This window comes from Homo sapiens, chromosome 7, assembly GCF_000001405.40.
Source record: "Homo sapiens chromosome 7, GRCh38.p14 Primary Assembly".
Classification (NCBI taxonomy): Eukaryota; Metazoa; Chordata; class Mammalia; order Primates; family Hominidae; genus Homo; species Homo sapiens.
This window is the reverse complement of record NC_000007.14, coordinates 111,035,968-111,059,489: the sequence shown is the minus strand read 5'-3', so window position 1 is coordinate 111,059,489 and position 23,522 is coordinate 111,035,968. Positions and strand designations below refer to the sequence as shown.

Sequence of the window (23,522 nt, the reverse complement as noted above, 5' to 3'; positions counted from 1 at the left end):
ACTACAGGCTTTTGTCACTTGCTATAGAGGGGAAAATGCTTACTTTTCCCTAGAACAATCAGAAAAGGTTTATGTTTTCCACTATCCTATATGTGGATAGAGAAGTTAAAATCTTTTAAACAATACACTTAATTTCATTTTAGTTTATGGTCCTATTTTACATGGCAAAGGTACTGCCTACTTATCTACCATTGACAAGATGCGAGAAGGCTGGGCGTGGTGGCTCATGCCTGTAATCCCTGTGCTTTGAGAGGCCGAGGCAGGCGGATCACAAGGTCAGGAGTTTGAGACCAGCCTGGGCAACATAGTGAAACCCTGTCTCTACTGAAAATATAAAAAATTAGCTGGATGTGGTGGCCGGTGCCTGCAATCCCAGCTACTTGGGAGGCTGAGGCAGGAGAATCACTTGAACCCGGGAGGCAAAAGTTGCAGTGAGCCGAGATTGCGCCACTGCACTCCAGCCGCAGCGACAGTGCAAGACTCCATCTCAAAATAAATAAATAAATAAATAAAAAGTTAAAAAAAAGAGATGTGAGAAAGGAGGCATAAGGAAGGAAAAAACACAGTGATAAAGTCTCAAAGTGAGATAATGGAATGAATTTTTTAAAGAAAAATCAAGATAATGATTTTAGTTTTCAGCTCCATTTTCAATGGTTTTGTTTTTCAAAAGCATTAGTAGGATAGGACTCAAGTCAGTAAAGGCTGGGTCATTTGTTGGGGGTGGGTGTTTTCCTAAGACTTCTGCTAATTTCTCTAAGGGTGGAGTAGGTGGCAATAATTTGTATAAGTATTCTTGGGTTTCTATATGCTGATATAATTTGTGAGTTCTTAAAGCCTTGTGTTTAAGATGAGTTAGAAGGTAGTGTGGCAAACTGAGCTGTGTAAGATTTATTCTTTCATCTCTAATCATCCCAATTCATAAATGCGCAAATTCATTTTAAAATAATAATATAAGGAACCCTGTTCTCTTTAATTGTGTTATTTGTGATTCTATCCTGAGTTCCTATTTAATGAGAATAGACTGTGTCCTACAAACACCAAGAATTCTTTTTAGTTTCAGCTTGTTTTTTATAAGAATTGTTTGCTCTTTTAAATCTGAAGTTTGAATTATTGCAAACAAGCTAGCCAAGACATTTTAGAAATGAGTGTAAAATACACATTATAATTTTGTAATAACAGTACAGTCTTGGTGTACATTTTTTGTAGATAATATTTTTATTAGTTGTCTTTTGTTTGAACTCATAATAATAGATTGTCTTTGAGTGGGATGACAGCCTGAGTTAGAAAAAGGATGTGGCTTTTTTTCTCTCTTTGGGGTGCCTGCATCTATGTTTATATGGGTTTGTAAAAGAAAAATAGATAAATTCATGTGTTTGTGGAAATTTAAGGCATTATAATTTTTAATTGAACAAAATCTGCCTTTTGCAGAAATGGAAATGTTAGCTCAGGCCTTTCTATTGTGATGGGAAGAGAGCTGCTGAAGATCCTAAAGAACAAAATGTGGATAATCTTTCATTTAATACATATAATACAGACACATATACATATGCTGTATATATGTGCAGGTATGTATATATATATAAATCCATACATACAGTTGAAGAAATTCCTCATGAACAAGAATGTTTTATAATGGCCACATGTTTTACATTAAAGAAAGAAGTTTTTACAGTGATTATTTGATTATTTTCTTTTGATTGCCAAATAATTAGAGGTTGCATTTCATCAGGCTTGAAAGCACCACATAATACTTAATGAGCATCCAGTTGATTAGAATTTTGACAGAAGGGTTAGGCCTATTCCTCATAATATGAAAGGATATATTTATTAGATTTGAGAGTACTAGTGTCACTGATAGGTGTGATTTCACTGGCAGTTTTAACATAGGTTCCCATTTATTCAGTTGCATTTAATATGTAAGCTGCTTTCTATGAATGGTAAATATTGTTAAACCTTCTGTACAATAAATGCCCATGGCATATTAACCAAGGGATAATTTTTATTTGTCATGTTATTTTAAAAAATTCTTACATATCTGTTCTGTAAGATTTACAAAAGAGTTTTTTTTTTTTGGTGTTAGACTATAATTAATAAGAATTACAATAGAAAAAGACTATTGTTTTAAAAACCAACTTAGTATCGTCTTCTTTTCTCTGAGATGATTAACTCAAAGCAGTCTGAGTCCCTTTCATATTCTGGAGGAATGGAGGAGGCAGATGGCTGGTGCCTACCTTATGGAAGGCATCAGCCTGCACTATGGGTGAATGCACCATGCCAATGAATCAAATGTGGGAAGCAGGCTCTAAAAAATGCAGAGAAGGAGAGAGTATGATTCGTGAGAGCATCTTAAAATTAGTTATTATCGGTGGCAACCAAAGTGTCGTGTCCTTTATGAACTCAAAAAAGAATTTTATTAACAATTTGAAAAAATCATATCTGTGAGTAAAAATGAAAGTTTCCAAGGTAATTACATCTAGAAGTGAAATCCAACTTAATATGTTAAACTCTTAAGTAAATTTGGGGTACTTGTATACAGTTGACCCTTGAGCAACACAGGGCTGAACTGCATTTATATGTGGATTTTCCTCTGTCTCTGCCACCCCTGAGACAGCAAGACCAAGCCCTCCTCTTCCTCCTCCTCAGCCTACTCAAGGTGAAGATGATTGAGGATGAAGACCTTTATGATTAATTGCTTCCACTTAATGGATAGTAAATATATTTTCTTTTCCTTATGATTTTCTTAACATTTTCTTTTCTCCAGCTTACATTATTCTAAGAATACAGTATATAATACATGCACAAAATATGTGTTAATTGACTGCCTATTTATCAGTAAGGCTTCAGGTCAACAGTAGGCTGTTGGTAGTTAAATTTTAGAGGGAGTCAAAAGTTATACATGGATTTCTGATAGTGCAGAGTCAGCAACTCTAACCCTGTGATGTTCAAGGGTCACCTGTAATTATTACGAAAGGGCTTTACCTCAAATGTTTTAAATATCTAACATAGCTACTTGAAACGATGTTGATGATGTTGATATATCAATATATTTAGAGGGATTTAATCTGATGAGTGTATTTCCAAGTAATTATTGTGTGTAAATATAAGGGCTTCCTTTCTGTCTGGTTTTACATCTCAGGCTTCATCTTAACTCCAGGCCTAAGAGGCAGGAAGAAGATATCACTGAGCAAAATTGCCATGTTCTGCTATATGGTTGACAGAAGGTCATTAGTGTAGTGTTTTATGGAACTGATTATGTTATAAATGATAAAGACTGCATTTGTGTTATTTGCTTTATTTTTACTAGATTTTCATTAATAACAATCTATTAAATGCTATGCCATGCTAAATAGATATGAATATACTCAGAGATATATTAGTTGTTTAAATAAACAGGTTATTCTTAAATGTATCTGTAAATATAGAATTAGAGATGAATTTAAAGTAACATAGCTTTTTGATATTAGGCTTTAATTGATAAAATATACAGAATATTAAAAAATAGTTCAATGTCATGAGTTTTTATTAAATATGCCAATTCTAAAAGCACTAGCCTAAGTATGTCATTGCCACACATACATCAATATGATAAATTTCTGGTATTGGCATGGTGCGTATTAGCTACTAGAATTTAGCACATCGGATCCCATGATTATAAGAATGTATGTTCAGATATATGCATAGTTACTGGTTAGGCTGATGCTTATAGGCTTACAAGTAATTCTGCTCCTTCTCCTGAATTTCCTCATCCCTCTACCCATTATGTCCTTTGGAGCCTAATGGATTATTTTTCAGTCAGTTGTCATTATATATTCTTGACCAAGGACAGCAATTAAGCTTCTGCAGAGTGGCGAAGAAGTGCGGCCCAAGGATCCAGCCTACGAAAGCAGTTTGACAACAGACAGGGGTCAAAGAAAATTAGAAACCAGCACCCAGCAGAAAGTTAGATAGTGCGGAAGAGAACAGAGGCCTGAGCAAAGGTTTGCAAACGGGTTAGGAAGAGAATCCCTGTCAGGGTATCTTAGCAATGGAAACAGGCTTCCAAAGAGGAAGTAAGGGCAGCCAAGCTATGAGAGCTCTGCCTTCTGAGGTGCAGGCTTCCTGCATCAGTGTGCCAGGTGTAGAACCACGTTCAGAAACTTGCCAACTCAGCTGAGCGTGGTGGCTCACGCCTATAATCTTAGCACTTTGGGAGGCTGAGCAAGGCAGGAACATTCCATAAAGTCAAGAGTTTGAGACCAGCCTGGTGAACGTTGCGGGACTCTGTGTCTACAAAAAAAGTGGACGTGGTGGCTCACACCTGTAGTTCCAGCTACTCGGAGGCTGAGATGGGAAGCTTGCCCGAGCCCAAGAGTTTGAGACTGCAGTGAGACGTGATTGCACCACTGCACTCCAGCCTGGGCGACAGAGTGGCACCCTGTTTCTGGGAAAAAAAAAAAAAGAAGGAAGAAACGTGTCAAATCCATGACTAGAGAAAGGGATGGGTGGGAGGGTCAGTGCTACTAGTGGTGGTCACTTTTGAGCCAGCCCAACTATTTTGTTTCCTAATTTATTGCTGTATTTTGGTTTTCTAGTGAAGAATATATAGATTGAGCCTGTAACTTTACTAGGAATTCTCTTCTATCTTTTACTATTGTTCTTTAAATTTATCACATCGGGAAGACATATCCTGAACTGTCGAAGACTTTCCCAGTGGAGAAAGGAAGAAGTATAGAGGTTTTCCTCCTGAGATTGATTTTAGAGCAATTGATTTTAGAACCTGGTATGGGGAATACACTTGCCAACAGAGGGAGGTGCTGGCAGAGTTTGATGTTCCTCTGACCATATTTTCCATACTGAAGAAGGCATTTCTGATCGTTGTGTTCAACTTGAAAACGCCTTCTCTTCTGTGGTAATTAACATGCTCCAGTGTGTGTCTGAGACAAACTGTACCTCATGGATGTCTGCAGGGATTTAGGTGCTCAGTTCCTGGGACATAGCTCATTGGTAAAGATAATTCTACATGAGGAACCATTTGACATTTCTTGGGTACATTTAAATTGTATCTTGTAAAGACTGCAAATGGTTTAATTGGGCCATTTGGTGTGCCCTGATGCCAAGCATATGTGCCAGTTGATGTCCCTTTGATAGTTTCTTCAGAATGAACTATTTTTAAATGTCTTCAAGATAGGAAAGCTCTTATGCTTAAAAAATAGCTGAGGAGAGAAAAGGACATTTAAAAAGTCAAAACAACAGAATGATTCAAAAATCTTCTGTCTCAGTGGCATAGATTTTTTTGAAAATTGAGATATCAATGTATGGGTGAATTTTAAATTCCTGTATATTAAAATATATCAAATAGAAATCTTTTAAGTACACTCTTAAAAATATGTTTTCACATATTGTGGTGGTTTTAAAGATTTTAGTGCACTGATTTGCTTCTTTCCCTAGTGACCCATTTTTTTTATTTTCCTGTCATTACAAATTACCAATTCATTGATTCTTCTCATGGTAATGATTCATATAAATCTAATTTCCCTCTGAAAATGAATTGTTTTTTTATTACCTTACCTCACTACCATAAAGAACTTGGTTAATTTGAATTAAAATAATAAATATAAAATGCTTAATTTGTTTAGCAATATGGGTTTTATTATTCTGTAATCTGATATAGTTCCTTCTTGTTAAGTCTTGTGGAATTGACACAGCAGAGATACACTTATTTATAGCAGATTATTTGGTGCATTTGGCACTGAATAGAGTTTCCTACCTGTGATGTGTTTCTTGGATTTCTTGCTCTACTATAATGTATGTCCTCTTGTTACAGTAGGTAGCTAATCAGGCATGAACAAAGCAGGAGAGGACTCTTCCCTCAGCCCCCACCACCAGGAATGTCAGGCAACCCTCAGGTGATGGTCAGGCAATTGTCACCCTGTCTCTCTAAAATAATAATTGGTCACAGCTGACACTAGGGAAAGGCAGTCTTTCTATAAACACCTGAAATTGGTGATCAGCAGCTCCCTGATAAGATCTCAGGAGCTGGGTGAGTGAGCTCAAGCATGTACATTAAGAGGCAAAATGTTGGAGTTTAACTGGTATATGACCACCTAGGGCCATTTGACTGGTAAGGAAAGAACACCTCAAGTGAGCTTGCCTACAACTCTAGTAAACACACTGCACATGCTCCCCTCCCAAGCGCTAGCAGGTCACTGCACATGTGGACAGCCCACCCCAAGGGAAGAATCAGGAGGGAAGGGATGCAACACCCTGGAAGCATGCCAACATATAAACCCCAAGTCAAAAGGTCAAATCATGCACATATCTTTCAAGCTGCTTGCTTGGCCCTCTTCCAAGTGTACTTTCCTTCCTTTTGTTCCTGCTCTAAAGCTTTTTAATAAACTTTCATTCATACTCTAAAACTTGCCTTGGTCTCTGCTTCTGCGTTATGGCCCTTAGTCAAATTCATTCTTCTGAGAAGGCAAGAATTGAGGTTCCTGTAGACCTGTATGGATTCGCTGCCGCTAACACTCTGATACAGATATAGCTAAGCTTATCTGATGCTGAATTTTTGTGGGAGAAAACAGAAACCTTTTAGGGGAGGAAAGAACAGGGGAATGACCCAACAAAGAAGCTAGTTATTAATTTAGACAGTAGAGGCAAAGAAGCACCTGTTCTGAAGGGGAAAACCACACTATAAAGTCTCTGTCTTCTTTCTTGGCAGGCTATTGATACTACTATTGATATTACTATTGATACTAGTGACCAAAAAAAAGTCAAACTCTATAAAACATTTGAAGATGTTTATTCTGAGCCAAATATGAGTGACTGTGGCCAGGAACACAGTCTCAAGAGGTCCTGAGAACATATGCCCAAGGTGGTTGGGTTACAGCTTGGCTTTATACGTTTTAGGGAGATAGAAGTTACAGGCAAAGACATAAATCAATACAGTAAGGTATACATTGGTTCAGCCTGGAAAAGCAGCACATCTAGAACATTGAAGGGGGAGCTTCCAGGACATAAATGGATTCCAAAATTTTCTGATTGGCAATTGGTTGAAAAAGTTAAGCTTTGCCTAAAGAGTTGAAGTTAATAGAAATAAATGCTTGAATTAAGTAAGGTAAAAGGGGATGGTGGAAGTGAAGATTCTTGTTATATAGTAATAGATCAAGGCTCCAGGTAGCAGGCTTCAAAGAGAATAGATGGTAAATGTCTCTTATCAGACCTTAAAAGGTGTCAGACTCTTAGTTACTCTCTCCTGGGTCAGGAAAAGACCTGGAAAGGGAAAGGGATTCTCTACAGAATGCATATTTCCTCCACAAGAGATGGCTTTGGAAGGCCATTTTAAAATACGTCAAAGAAATATATTTTGGGATAAAATACTTTGATTCCTTTCAGGGCCTGCCATCTTTCCTGTGATGCTATACCAGAGACAGTTTGGAGGTGGGTATTGCTACAAAGAATCTGTTTTGTCATTCTGATGACCTCTATTTTAATGTTAATGCTGGTCATTTGTGCCTAAACTCCAAAGGGAGCATGGATAACTAAGCATATCCCTCCTCCATTCCTGTCAAGGCCTAAGCTACATTTTCAGATTTCTCTGGGATCCCCTAGGCCAAAAGGAGAGGTCCATTGAGTCAGTTGGAGGCTTAAAATTTCATTTTTGGTTTACAGTATCACCAATGTTCTTGTCACCTATTCTAAAAGATAGGCTGCTTATGATAGAATCAATCATGATTCTTCAAATGGGACAACCTAAGATTTACCAATAAAAGAATGTTTCAATGTATAAATGCTTTGACTTTTTAAAATGGTGCCTTCCATGAATAGCCACAATTAGAATGAATCCATTTTTTGTTTGTTTTTTTAGACAACAACTTATATCTCAAAAGGTAGACATTTCTCAAATATTTTTCCCCAGGAGATTTTCAAATACGAAAGCTTGAGCTATAGTGAATTTCAGAATTTTTGAACTGACATAAGCAGCCTTCTGTTTATAAAGAGTTTTTATCAAAAGGCTTTGAAACACTTCAGAAATATATTCTGATGATAATAAGAATAGATGTGACTCTTCAGAGGACACAGAACAAAGACTGGTCCTCTCCTGTTTCTTTGTCCTGTGTACTGTTCACTAGATGCATTCGCTCAGGATAGTTTCCTGAAGACTTTCCTATGCTCCCCAGGGAAAATATTCAGTGGTCTCAGAAACAAAATAACTCAGTGACATAAGAGAAAAACTATGCATAGTTTTATTAAAATGCTGACAATATAGAAATAAACAGTCATACACTAGTCTCCCTTTGCCTTTGATTTTGGACTCAGGGAAATGCATAAAAATACTTAAGACCATAAAAAAAAGTTTGTTTATTTTTAAATTTTGAGACAGAGTCTTACTCTGTTGACCAGGCTGGAGTGCAGTGGCGCACTCATAGCTCACTGCAGCCTTGACCTTCTAGGCTCAAGCAATAAGAAAACTTAAACCACATCCTACTTATGTAGGATGCTGAATATTTTCTTTTATCCTTTGTTTCCCAGCAACTCTTAAGTCAGCTTTTTTATTTGTTAATTTCTTTTCCTGTAATTAGCTCATTCAGCTTTCACTGAAGTTTTCTAGACAAGAGGACTGATGACTAAAACAGTTTGAATATATCCTGTGCTTTCAACTGACCCAGTTCTGATTTCTTTTCCAAGGCGCATGGATACCACAGATGTGTGTTTTTAAGGGCATAAATAAATACGTAACTTTTGAAAAGATGTGGTATGTATTAGGCACAAATGTAGTTGAACCCAAAATGATATATTTTTTAGGCTGGTATTGATAAACAGGCAGCAATTAGAGTTGCATTGAGTCACCCCGAAACGGAGACTTTAAACTACTAAAATCCACACACGGTAGATAATTCACATATTGTAAGATCACTTTAAAAAGACTGTCAATCTGCCAGGCAAAAAGCAGCAAAAAAGATGTCCCCTTTAAACAAGACCATTTAACATTAACATACCTAAAGAAAGAACGCGTCAATAGAAACGGGGTGAGAGAGAGTGGGCTGATATGTTTAGACTTTTCAGTATTGTGCTGATACTTTACAGTTGTTTTCTTTATTCATCACAACCCTCTAACTAGGTTTTATTACCTATATTTCACAGATGGAAGAACTAAGCTCCTAGAGATTGATACAATTTCTCCCAAGTTTCAGAAGGGGGAAGTGAGAGAGTTATAATTTAAATATGGTGAATTTGGCTTCAAAATCTGTAAGATTCTTTACTGTATTGCTCCCAGTGGACATCAATTTCTATGGATTAAAACCACTTGATTGCATTAGAAAAGGTTTTCGTGAAAGGACAGTATGGGATTATCCAGTGAGTGCTTATTGAATGCCTATTATATACTTCATTTTGGAGCACAATCATTTTACTTTACTAGCACTATTCCAGTGGAATAAATTTTGAAATTTGAGACTGTGCCTCCTCAAAATTGAAACCTTTGACCAAGGAGAGGAGAGTTCCCTCACAGTCCTCTTCAGCCAGCCTGTTTCTTAGATTTCTTTGGTAAAGATCAGACCAGTCTGTCCACTGTGCTCTCAGATGGCATCTCCCAGTAGCTCTTTTCATTTCTCACACTTCCCTATGGGGGCGGTGGGACTCACGGAACAGCAGTTAATTTCCCCTAAATATTTACTGTCTTCAGTCCCTTTATGGCCTCAGTGTGGGTGCTGAACTGCAAAACTTTTGACTGCGTCCTTTGCAAATCCTGCAAAAATGGTCTTGCATTTTGCCTTTGCTTTGGAATTTGTTTTGGAAGTATTTGACAAATAGTTTTTTGTTCTTAACCAGTATTTCAGATGAACTAGGACAAAGAGAGCCAATTTAATATTCTGTTGCTACGTACACTTTTAAGAAAAAAGAAAATTTTCTAAGTATGTAGAATTTAAGGGGTGGATCAAAGGGAATAGACATTCTGAAGTAATGACAACTTCCTACAAAGGGTGATCAATTATCTGGAAGTTTAAAGAAACTAAAAGGTCACTTAGCTATAGGCTGAAGTTTTAATATCCCTTAATACTTTTTAGAAGTATCATAAAAATCGGCCGGGCGCGGTGGCTCACGCCTGTAATCCCAGCACTTTGGGAGGCCGAGACGGGTGGATCACGAGGTCAGGAGATCGAGACCATCCTGGATAACACAGTGAAACCCCGTCTCTACTAAAAATACAAAAAAATTAGCCGGGCGTAGTGGCGGGCGCCTGTAGTCCCAGCTACTCGGGAGGCTGAGGCAGAAGAATGGCGTGAACCCGGGAGGCGGAGCTTGCAGTGAGCCGAGATGACGCCACTGCACTCCAGCCTGGGCGACAGAGCGAGACTCCGTCCCAAAAAAAAAAAAGAAAAAAAAAAAAAAAAAGAAGTATCATAAAAATCAATGCCCTAAGCTTAAACAGAGCAGTTTCTTTAGCATTTTAATTTTAAAAGATGCCTGGAGGTATTTGGCTATCAGATAAAATGGTATATATTTAAGTTGGTCTCTACTAATAGAGCATGGCAGTGTAACAACTCTGGGTCCACTTAATGCACACTTTTTCTTAGATTTCAAACTAATGTACGTAGCATTTGGATATGTCAGAATCTCTTCTGAGGACAGCGACCAGCTTGGTGTCCCTGCAGTACATGAGCATCTATCTTTGCAGAAGATAGATGCTCAGGAAATGTAAGTTATTTAAATGAATTTATTTATGGTCACTTCTTCCTAATATCCTGCTCTGACCAAGTTGTCTTTTTATAGTCTTTATGAAACACAAATATAATATTCCTCAGAGTTCACGTTAATAATCACAACCTCTTGACGATGTACCTAGCATTATAGTATATATTTTAAAATGTTATTTTGCTTGTTGACTTATTCAACAAATATTTATTGACTATGGTGGTATTACAGGCCTCCTTCCCCCAAAATAGCATCTAACAATAACCAGTGTTAGTATGTTAAGTACTATGATTAAGGTACAATATGTACCTCAGTGGGAAAACAGAATAGAAGCAACTATGGTGACTGATGGTGGTGGTCAGCAAAGACTTTACAAAGGTGGTATTTGAATCAGTTCCAGAAGGATTGTAACCGAGCCAAGCAGGCCCAGATGCTCACTGCTTGCAGAGTCCAGTTAACAAGAGCAAGATCTGGTAGAAAGAAAGTGAACTTATTAACCAAAACTAGTAAAGGGGAAGCAGCCAGATTTCTTTTTTTCTTTTTTCTTTTTTTCTTTTTTTTTTTTTTTTTTTTTTTTTTTGAGACAGAGTCTCGCTCTGTCGCCCAGCTGGAGTGCAGTGGCTCAATCTCGGCTCAGTGCAAGCTCTGCCTCCCGGGTTCACGCCATTCTCCTGCCTCAGCCTCCCAAGTAGCTGGGACTACAGGTGCCTGCCACCACGCCCGGCTAATTTTTTGTATTTTTTAGTAGAGACGGGGTTTCACCGTGTTAGCCAGGATGGTCTCAATCTTCTGACCTTGTGATCTGCCTGCCTCGGCCTCCCAAAGTGCTGGGATTACAAGCGTGAGCCACCACACCCGGCAGGAAGCAGCCATATTTCTATCCAAAGTAACTGCTTCGCTTTTTGGGGGGATGGCAGGCATTTAAAAAGGGAAAGCTTGATAAGGAAGGTGTGCAAGAATTGGGCTGAGTACAATGCACATGTATCTTGTTTTGGTGGCTGTCTGTCTTTGGTCCCAGTCCACCTGGACCTTGGACTGATGTCTCAACAATGGCTGGGTTGTTAACTAGCCACCACCTTAATCTCTGGTATTTTGCAGCTGGGTCTCTAGACCAAGTCTGTCTGTCTCAATATTAGCCCCTGGAATTTCTAAGAAGACACATAATTAGATATTAGCATACAGTTAGATGAGTGTGAAGGGAGTACATACGGTGAGAAAAGGAGGGTCATAGAATCTATTTTAAGACTAAGGAAAAAGGCTTCTACAGTTTGCTTCAAGGTTGTATCTTGAAATCCAAGAGAAAGAAAAAAACTTTAAAATAAATTTTGAAGGGCTGGGCACGGTGGCTCATGCCTGTATTCCTAGCACTTTGAGAGGCCAAGGTGGGTGGATCACCTGAGGTCAGGAGTTCGAGACCAGCCTGACCAACATGGAGAAACCCCTTCTGTACTAAAAATACAAAAATTAGCCAGGAATGGTGATGCCTGCCTGTAATCCCAGCTACTTGGAAGGTTGAGGCAGGAGAATCCCTTGAACCTGGGAGGCAAGGTTGTGGTGAGCCAAGATCACACCATTGCATTCCAGCTTGGGCAACAAGAGTGAAACTCTGTCTCAAAAAAAACAAAAAAAAAACAAAAAAAAAACAAAAAAGACATTTTGAAGTTAAACTGCCTGGTTAGGGGATGAGAAAAGACATTCCCAGCAGAGGTAACGATGTGTTTCCAGCATAGAGACAGGAAACAGCAAAAGTGTAAGCAAATGATTCCCTGCCACTTAGTAGCTGAGGAGCTATATGAAAGTAGCAAAGGAGATATATGATCTTGCTTTAGCAAGATCTGCTTTAGCTTTAGCTTCCATGGGCCCTGGTTTTTATTTTTATTTTTAATATAATGCCTATCTGATAAGTGCTTGGAGGATTAGCTTGTGTTAGATGTACGCTCTTGGCCCAATGCCCGAGTACTCAGTCATTGCTCCGTGAATGAAAGTAGTGAATGTAGAGTCCCCAACACCAGGCTTGGCAAGTGGTAAACACCTCGAAATGTAAATTATTGTTATCATTTCATCCCTTGTTCCCTTTCTTTGGTATATATGGACATAATTTCATTATTAAGATAAAATAGACCTTGAATGATATTCATCTTTTATGTAGCTCATTCTTGACTAATAGTTTAGCTGGTATAGAGTTCTAATTCCCTCATATTTTGAACATAGTATTTAATAGTCTTCTGTAATCTGTTGCTAATGAGAAAAGCTTTTCTTTTTATCTTCATTTATTATAGACTCCCTATCATGTTTCTACAGGTGGATTTATTTTTTGTTTTCCTTCTTGACTTTCAGTGTATACTTTTCTATATATCTTTATTCAGTTCTGGAAACTTCTTTTTCATTATTTCTCCTAATTTTGTTTCCCTTTCTCTCTTTTGTGTGACACCTACTGGATATATGTTGGAGCTTCTCAATATCTCCCTCATGTCCTTTAACTGCTCCTTTATTTTTTTAATTGCATTATCTTTCTGGGATGCATTGTGTGCCTCTTAATGCTCTTTGAAAATTTCTACTTCTTTCTTTTACTGTGGTAAGTCTACAGTTTATTTAATCTATTGGTTCTTTTTAAAATTTTAATGACTATACATATTTTATTCTTGTGTTTCTAATTGTTTCTTCTTCATTTGTACTTGGTATTTTTTAATTTGTTTGAATTATGTTTTATTTTATGGACATGTCATCTTTCATCTTTTTGAGTTTGTAAACTTTTTTCAAATTCTTTAGATTATGTTAAGATTTGTATTTTTATCTAGTGAGTATTTCTCCTAAATTTTATTTTATTGGCCTTCCCTTATTGTTACCCTTTTAAAAGATGTTTCATAATTTTGTTCTGTATTTTTATCTTGGGTGGGAGGTTTTTATTCCAATCTGTATTTGTTTCAAATTGCTGTTATAGCAAATTAACACAAACTTAATGGTTTATCATAACACAAATTTATTACCTTACAATTCTGTAGGTCAGAAGTCTGATGTGTTTCACTAGGCTAAAATCAAGGCATCAGCAAGGCTGCATTCCTTTTGGAGGCTCTAGGGGAGAATTAGTTTTCCTGCCTTTTCCAGCCTCTACAGCCTGCCTGCATCCTTGGCTCATGGCTCCATTCCACCTTCAAAGCCAGCAGTGGTTCATAGAGTCTTATATTGCATCACTCTGGCACTGACTGTTCTCCTGCCTCCTGTTTTTACTTTTAAGGATCCTAGAGATGTGTTTAGAGAGATGGTCAAGGTCTGGATCACAAATATCATGGGAAAGAGCTTGGATTTTGTTGAAAGTACAGTAGAAAGCCACAGGCAGTTGTATACAGAGGAGTGACAAGATTTGATTTGTGTTTTTAAATGATCTTACTGGTTACTATGTAGGGAATAAATTGTGCAGAGACCAGATAAGAGGCTTTTGGAAGAATCCAGATGAGAAAGGGTAGTATATTGGACTAGGGTTGTGTCATTAGAAATGAAGAATGGGCATATTTTGAGGATATATTTAGGAAGTAAAGCCCATAGAATTTACTAATGGATTGAGTCTGACAGGTGAGGGAAATGGAAAAAATCAAGGATTTCTTTTGTTGTTTTGGCTGAGTAGGCTAACTAGCAAGCCAAATAGTTGTTCTTTTACAGAGACGCAAATTTTGTTTTACCTTATAGCTGTTGTAATCTTTGTGTCTGAAAGCTGAAAGTGGAATCTGTGAGTGCTTTTAGCAGTTTTGCCTAGCAGGGCTATATTGACTGGAATTTATATATTAATTATTATCTCTTTATTACTTTTCTATCTTTATATTCTCTCTGCTTTATCTTTTTCATTTTAAAGTTATTTTTTCATTATATTTTCACAGCTCTGTTAGCTGCCTTAAGTCCAGGCAGTGTATAAATAAATTATAAATAAACATAAATAAATTATAATCAAATAGTCTCCAGAGTTGTCAACTACCCACTGTCTATATATGTAAACTTTAAAAAGATTGTCATTCATTAGTTCACTTAAAGCCCACTTACATATTTGTAACTTGTTGATGGGATAAAAAAAGTATCAAATTGGTTCCTTTGTTTCTTTCCATTGGTCATGCCATTTTTGCGTTAGTGTTGTGCATCTGTCACTCATCAACCAATTTTGAATAGTTAAGAAATATGACAGTAGATTGACAAATGGCTTATCTGATTTGTTCATAAAGATATCCAGAATTATAGTGTGTACAATTTTATTTTTATTTTTATTTTTTTGAGGCAGAGTTTCGCTCTTGTCGCCTAGGCTGGAGTGCAGTGGTGCAATCTCGGCTCACTGCAATCTCTGCCTCCTGGGTTCAAGTGATTCTCCTGCCTCAGCCTCCCAAGTAGCTGGAATTACAGGTGCTCATCACCATGCCCAGCTAATTTTTGTATTTTTTAGTAGAGACGGGGTTTCACCATGTTGGCCAGGCTGGTCTTGAACTCCTGACCTCGGGTGATCCACTGGCCTTGACCTCCCAAAGCTCTGGGATTACAGGCATGAGCCACCATGCTCAGCCCAGTATGTACAATTTCAGATTCTAGGTCCTTAGAGATCAAAGGCAATGTTGATTTAATTCTCTGCATTTGGCATTTTATCCTATTCCATAATATATGAAGGTGAGACTCTATATAATGTTTTTGATGATGCTGGTGAAGAAACATCTAAATAGATCAGAAGGCATTCAGGGAACAGTTAAGTTCACTGTACTGAAAATGGTTCAGAGAATATAGTTGCTTGACATAATGTCTTTTGATTGATACTGAAATGACAAGAATTATTAACTTGGTGAATGCCTCAGTGTTTTTATTATTTTTATTAAAGGGTCAGTATCTTTCGGACTATGAACATTCTTACATACCCCTATCAAATCCCTTTACTGACAAAAGAGCTGACAAAATTATTAGTCATTCTCTTGTATTTGAAGGTCAAGTGATGATCTCTATTTAATATTCCTGTCCACAACTGTTTTTTGCTTCCTGTTTAGTAATTAAAAGCATTGTCTTCTAAGCTACTTTCTTGTCTAGTACATATTAACTAAGATTTCTTCATTACACCTCTGTAGAGATGGCAGGAAGCAGGCCACTGATATAATTATTTCTGGTGTTAGACTAAAAAACTATTATATCAAAGGTCACACAGTGATATTTGCATTTTCCAGTATTGAAACATAGCTTTTTACTATTCTGTTTGTTCTTTTTGTATTTAATGTTTAACCCATAATATTTAGAAGGAAATGAATTTGTACCTAAAGAAAACTCTCAAATTCAGCTAAGATGGAGAAGATAAAACTGTGCAAGACTGAACTGGCAGATGTCAAATTTGCATCTCATTTAAAGTTTATGTATTTTCCTATAGGCATTTTTGAGTACTGTATAAATAAACTGTTGAGATGTTAACGTTGAGAGGAAAAGGGGAGGAAGGTGGGACATTAAGTAACCATGAAATTTCAGGCTTCCTGGCTGAGTTAATTATAATACCTTATCATTATACTGTATTAACACTTTTAAAAATCAATTTTTTGCCACTTAAATCAAATCATAGGATGTGCTTAATTCAAGAGACACCTTTAGGAAAGGATCCTCTGTATTTCTTTTCATATTTTAAAAATTAAAGGAGGATATAACGGATTGTCTTTGAGACTTACTACAGGTTGGGCCATTAGCAGCTACTGTTAGGAATTACAGGAGTATGTGTGGATTGGGTGAGGTGGAGTGGGAGTGTAGTATATGGTTGTTTCTGAGGCATGTTGAGTCAGCAGTATCAGCTGTAGAAATAGAAATTTGACTTCTTTTGCCCCATCCACTTTTGACATTTATTGTTTTATTCAAGAAGTATTTATCGAATTTCAATTATAAGCCAGGCACTCTGCTTAGGTGCTGGGTTACAGTGAACAAGACATAATTTCTGCCCTTTCAAGACATATAGCCTTCTTAAATTTCTTTATTATTTTCCCTAGCATCAGAATACCAGAGAGTGGGTCAAGAAAAGGGTATTGTGGATTAGAAGGAATGGAGAAAGGTTGAAAGTTGTAAGCTTCTTTAAAATCCTGAAATCCCAATTTAGATGTTAGTCATCTATTGTGGCAGAGCAGACCATGCTATTCACTAAGCTCTTAGGCAGAACTAAGATTTTAGGCGGAGTATAAAATAGATCAAGCATGGCCTGCTCTATATCCCTGCTTCTCTTTGCCTAACCAGGAGCCCTTTGACCTCTGCGAGCATCTAGCTTGAGCTTGAGCTTGTTGTTTATCCAAGTGCCTCAAGCTTAGATATCACCAAGTTAACCCTTGCACAAGATAAAATCTTTAAATGGTAGCTGGGATTGGTGGCTCACGCCTGTAATCCCAACACTTTGGGAGGCTGAGGCGGGTGGATCTCTTGAGGTCAGGAGTTTGAGACCAGTCTGGCCAAACATGGTGAAACCCCTTCTCTAATAAAAATACAAAAATTAGCTGGGTGTGGTGGTGTGCACCTGGAATCCCAGCTACTCAGAAGGCTGAGGCAAGAGAATCACTGGAACCCAGGAGGCAGAGGTTTCAGTGAGCCCGGATTGTGCCACTGCACTCCAGCCTGGACCATGGAGCGAGACTCAGTCTCAAAAAAAAGAAAAAACTTTAAATGGTATCTATGATGGCCATATTAAAACTCAGGACATGCAACTTTACAAATATGTGCATAAGGGGGATTATAAGGAATATTTTAAGAATCATAAATTATAGTGTTACTTATTTCATTTAACACACACTATGTAATACTTATTATATGCCAGTCTCCATTCAAAGTTCATTTCACCCTTATAAAAGCCCTATAATATAGATTGTTATTTTTACCTCCATTTCACAGATAAGGAAACTGAGCTACAGAAGGGTTAAACAACTTAAGTTCACACAACTGGTAGACTTAGCATTCAAACTGAGGCATTCTATCTTCAGAGCCTATGCTCTTGACACTAACTACACTAGATTGCCTCATATCCCTATGTACTATATGCGGGACACCTGATGTCTATGCCCTAGTAGGAAGTGTGAGTCAGAAATTCAAAGGAAAGCCCTGGGCTGAAAACAAATCAGAATCATGTGCACCTAGTAATTTTAAGCCATCAGAGTAGAAGAGTACAAATAGAAAAGGAAAGGAGATTCTCAAGGATAGGGCCCCGGGATCTAGTAACACTTAAGTGACTGGTGACAAACACACATCAGAAATGTAGACTGAGAGTGAACAGATTCAGGAAAACGCTATCTCGTAAGCCAAGGAAAGACAGAATATCAAAAAGAGTTTAACTTTACATGTGCCCCTGAGTGGTTAAAAGAATGCAAACTAGAAAAGCCACTCATCTGGCAGTTAAGAGATCATTGCTGCCTTTTTCTATAATTGGATATTTATAATAAAGAAGATAGAATGAGCTGCCACAAAGACACATTTTAAGAAGACAGAAGTACATGCTTAGACTTTTTATTTACACATATTTTTACTCATTTTGTGAAACAAATTTAGTTGATTTCAAGGCCTTTTTTTCTGTAAACTTATTCTTTAGACCACACCTCAGCTAAGTTTAGTTTCATATTATTTTACCTTGTAGGCACTTACATATTTTTTAATGAAAAAATTTCAAAAATTTGTGAGCCCCAGGAAAACAATAATTTAAATTTCCTTAGGTGGTACATGGTCATAAGAATTAGCCACTAATCCCTAAGCAGGATTATCTTCTAGAAGATTATCATACCAAAATACTAGCTGGGAATGATAACTCAGAACAGCTAGAATTGTATGTTGATATTGTATGTTTGTAAGTGAATGCAAGCTAAAGTTGAGTATTTTTCCTCAGTACAATATTTGAGCCAAGTAATAGCATCAGTATTAATTTATAAACATAAATGTTTATAAATTTATAAGTGATGTAACTAAAACTTGATTTATCATACCATGCTTTATTGCCCAAGTTAAAATCTTATACATCTTTTGTTATGCATCAGTTTTAAATATCTTTTAGATTAAATATTAGATTTAATATTAGATTTTATATAGTTTTATAAGGTTTTATAAGGTTTATAAGATTTTATATAATTATATAATATTAAATATTAGATTTATATATTTAAATCAAATTCTTACTCTCTTTCTTTGCCTTTCTAATTCTGTCAGTACTTTCAGGTGGCCACAGGCTTTCCTCTTAAGTTAGGATATGCTGCTGTACCTGATATTTATATCTAATATTTAAATATTAGATATAAATATCTTTTAGATTAAAAGATTTTCAGGATATACAATCAAATGTTAGATAAATTTGATTAAACACTCCCTTTGCTGTAATTGTTTGGCAGAATACATTTTATTAAACTCAGGGTAGAACATCCCCTAAACTGGGTATTTGCTTCAGTAAGAATAAAAATTCAAGTTGTTTGAATAAAGTTTTCAATATCACTACTGCTATCAGTCTAGGTGACCTAACATTTGTCCACCTGTAAAATATTATTGGTCATTTTGGCAACTCCATATCTATTTAAAGAATTTAGTTATTTAATAGCAACCTAAAATTCTTTTCAAATAAATAATTTTTGGAAACTTTGGTTTAATTTTTTAATCACAGAAATAATTATGTAGTGTAGTGACCAGACCCTTTTTTTTGAGACAGAGTTTTGGTCTTGTCACCCAGGCTGCAGTGCAGTGGCGCAATCTCCGCTCACTGCATCCTCTGTCTGCCTCCCGGCTTCAAGTGATTCTCCTGCTTCAGCGTCCTGAGTAGCTGGGATTACAGGCATGTGCCACCACGCCCAGCTAATTTTTGTATTTTTAGTAGAGACGGGTTTCACTGTGTTGGCCAGGCTGGCCTTGAACTCCTGACCTCAGGTGATCCACCCGCCTCGGCCTCCCAAAGTGCTGGGATTACAGGTGTGAACCACCCTGCCCAGTCCAGACCCTTTTATAGTTGGGTCTGCATGTATGGAGTTGGGCTAATGTGCTGCTGCAATGCAGTGGTAGCCAATTAAAGGCATAGGAAGATGAGAAGATATTTCTTAGGTAAAATTTGCACACGATTAAGGGAGGAATAGAGATGCTGGAATTACTTCTTGAGTTTCATATTTTTGTGAACTTTTGATTAATGCAGTAAAACTGGACGGTTTTTGTTGTGATGGTTTTTAAAAAAACCACTACCATGTTAATACTTTATTACATGGACTAACATGCAAGCAGGGAATACAAAGGGGGGAGAGCTCACTGACCTGAATTAATGAGAATTTTTTTGAATTGCGCTATCTATACTTGATGCCAAATTTAGTTTTTTATTTTCCAGGTGGTATCTACCTACTCATAAGCTTTACCAAACATGGCATCTGAGCATATCTTCCTTAAAGTGTCATAAGTGTAATATTTATGTTAGTTTAACGGTTAATAGAGATTTGCTTATGTTTAGAAACATATATTCTGTTTTTATTAAAAATAAACTAGATGTTTTGAACATGTTTTTGACTCCCTAAATAGACCACACTATATTTTTTACGCCAGTTGTCATTTGAATAACTGAGTTTTAATAAATACATTCTGAAACTTAAGCTTTTAAATTTGAGATTTTATGTTTTCCAAAATTAAAATCAAAATACATGTTTTGAATTGATGGTCGGAACAGATGCAGTGAACTCATATGTGAAAAATGATGAAAGATATGAGATCAGGCTATCTTTATGCCTCCAAAGCAGACCATTCTATTCTATACATTGTGCTTATCAAAGTTTGAAATAGAAGTTATGTACAAAAAGAAATGACCCCTGTTCCCCAAAGTTTGAAGTCTGAGATGTAAGAGAAAAAAAATTCCCTGAATTCCAAGGCTTAGAAATATATTTCTATCACCTTATTTATATTAGGCCACAAGTAGAAACCTTGATTTTGATTAATGAGTTATCGTCCCCAAGTTTGATTACTTGTACTTTGAGAGAATTTCCAATATTCAATTCCCTGGATTTTAAAATCTGTTTTCTACTAATAACTTGATTTATAAAGATTATCCCCTTTAATTTTTAACTATGCTTCATTTCAACTCATGTCAGATAAAAAATTGGCTTGAAAAATATTGAAAATGGTACTCTTCTCCATAGATTATTTAACATATGAAACAATGTACTCCCTTTTCTATTCATTATATTTCCACTGAGTGCTAGAAGTTGTATAGTTTTATGCCCAAGGGTCTGTTTTACTGAACAAACCAGAACTCCTCTTCACCTCTTTACATTTTAGTTAGATGCTGGTGCCTAGGTTATTGTGACCGCTCAGTGCATACCGTTCAGGATCATAGTTGATTTTAGTGAGTTTGCTAACCTAGTTCAGGGTCTTTGAACCTAGTTGGCTTTAGCAGGTTTGAAAAGAGGACAACTTTTACTACTTCCTCTCCTCTTTCATGTATTACTAATCATTGATGAGGACAGGATCCTCAACAGTAACTAAGTAGGCAGTGCTGTGGGCTTACTCCTTTTCCACTGTGCTTCCAATTAACTAGCCACCAACGTATTGCTTTTCCTTTCATTTTTACCACCCCCAAATTGTGAATAATTGCATTTAGATTTTATAAAAATAAAAATCAGTGTATTCTTACTCTCTTTCTTTGCCTTTTAAATTCTGTCAGTACTTTTAGGTGGCCACAGGCTCTCCTCTTAAGTTAGGATATGCTGCTGTACCTACTATTGATTATGAGAAAATATTTTAACTTCAAATTAAGGTTCTTCATTGTAACATTTGCTAGTTATGGTGCGGTCAATATTTCACTATAATAGTATCTATCAATCACACACTGGCCTATGGGACAGAGTTTTTCTGTGATGGATAGATTATTTAGACACAGATAGGATGAGAACTTTAAGATATCCCCGCAACTTTTTTACCTCTTAACAAAATACAGTACATTTAAAACTGTCATCTACAAACAGATATGTGAACTTTACCATCTCTTCATCTTACTTTTGCTATTTTCTGCACATAGTTTCTCCCTTTTCATTATGCCTTTTATTAGAAGCAATTGTACATAATTAATTACTGTAAATTGTTCTAGTAAAGTTTGCTTTATGTTCAGTGTTAACAAGGCCAATATCTATTATGCAAATCTCAGTATGTAAGATAAGCTAGAAAGTAAATGCTTGAATAATAACTACCTTCTTTGAAGCAAAGACAACTGAATTTATTTATATTGTGAATGTCATTTCACAGTTACCTTGCTGGGCAATAAAAGACCCTGAAATTAAAATGACCCCTTTTCACAAAATATAGCTGGATGATTCATTTACTACAAAGAAGCTTGGCTTGAGAGTACTCCTTCTGAAATATAAAATGATATCCTACTAATGCATCTGAAGTGTGCTTTAAACCTATCCAAGGAGACTCATGAAATTAATGACTGCATTACATGTTGTGATTCTCTTATATTATGTTTACTTTTCCACTGTTTCTCCTCTGATTTTATATCTTATCGGTTGCATTCCCAGTCTTTGGAAACCTCCACTTGAGAAATTGTATATGTTTACAGCTGCCTTGAAAACCTTTAGACCTCTACAAATTTGAAAATATAAATCTTAAGATTAATGTTCCATACTATGTATATGTTAGTTTGGTTTAAGAATCTTAGCATTTTAAGTATTGAAGCACCTGCCACCTTGTTGAAGAAAATCAGTTATAGCACAACAGTGTAATGATGACAAAATGTTAAATTTTTCCTCGTAAAAAATTTCATTTTCAGCCTGAGTGATCCTATACAGCAGTGTTACTAGCTAAGAGGGAGGGATCTGCTCAGCAGTTCTGACTGCTCATTATTGGTCCTTGACATTTCATTCATATGCTTATTTTTTCTGTTGCAAAACATTATATCACTTGAAAACATTAATAAACAAAAATATTTCTTTTTAATTGCAAAACCCACATGGTGATTTCTTATGATATCATGAATAAATGTATAATCTTAATGGATTCATTAGAAAAATAAGTGACCCCAGTTTTGAACATGTTAAGCCACTTATTTACCTATCCAAAACTCAGAAACTATAAAGTTATCTGGTTTGTAAAAATACACTTTTACAAGAATATATGATAGAATTCAACAGCTTTTTAATCAAGTAATAGTATTTTAAAAAGAGATGTGTAACATCAATAAAATTCCAGTTTGCTTCTAGAAGCACTGATGGCTTTATTAATACTTTAGTTTTGAGACTTTTTTTTGGCTAAACTATCTAACTTCTGAATGAAAGAGAACAAAGATCCTGCCCTAGAGGATCCTGATGCTTATAATCTAGTTAAGTGTCTAGAGATAAATTCTAAAGTGTCAAAAAGCCAAATTTATAATGTCATATTAATACATTAAAGAACCTGAAGGATTTATTGAATCAGAATATTAGGACTCAAAGGGACCTTAATAATCCTCAAATGCGAACACTTTTATTTTAAGAATGAGAAAGCTGAGGCCCCAAAGGGGAGATGACTTACCTGGGGCTTTCTGGGAGGCCTAGATAGAGCTGGGACCAGAATTTTATTCACAGTGCGTCTCTTGTCATTAAGGGGCCCAGTTTATAGAGGAAGGTTTCGGAGGAAAGGTAAATCTTGCACTTAAAGGAAACGGTATTATAAGAAGCAGTGAACTAGATCTAGAGATTTGTGTTTCTTATGTTAGTTCTAAGTTTTTACTAGTTCTAAAATGCCATATTTATTGATGTAGTTTGGTAGCAAAGAAGGAATAATATGAGCAATAATAATAAAAAATAGTAATAATAATGACTAAAAGTTATAGAACTTCCTATGTGCTAGGCTCTGTTTTAAGCACATTGCATTCATTAGCTCATCTAATCCTCACAATA

General features: G+C 36.3%; 1 protein-coding gene across 23 annotated transcripts in view, besides 1 other annotated feature; it reads left to right on the top strand.

The window, feature by feature from the left end:
* The window catches only part of IMMP2L (inner mitochondrial membrane peptidase subunit 2), an 899,849-nt gene that overhangs the window by 503,003 nt on the left and 373,324 nt on the right, over positions 1-23,522 (top strand). The window lies entirely within an intron of this gene.
* Positions 7,104-7,756: an enhancer, noted in NCBI's record as "OCT4-NANOG hESC enhancer chr7:110691790-110692442 (GRCh37/hg19 assembly coordinates)". NCBI's record gives its function as "activates a minimal SCP1, AML or CMV promoter by ChIP-STARR-seq in naive H9 embryonic stem cells {active_cell/tissue: H9 hESC(naive)}" and the evidence as "EXISTENCE:reporter gene assay evidence [ECO:0000049][PMID:30033119]".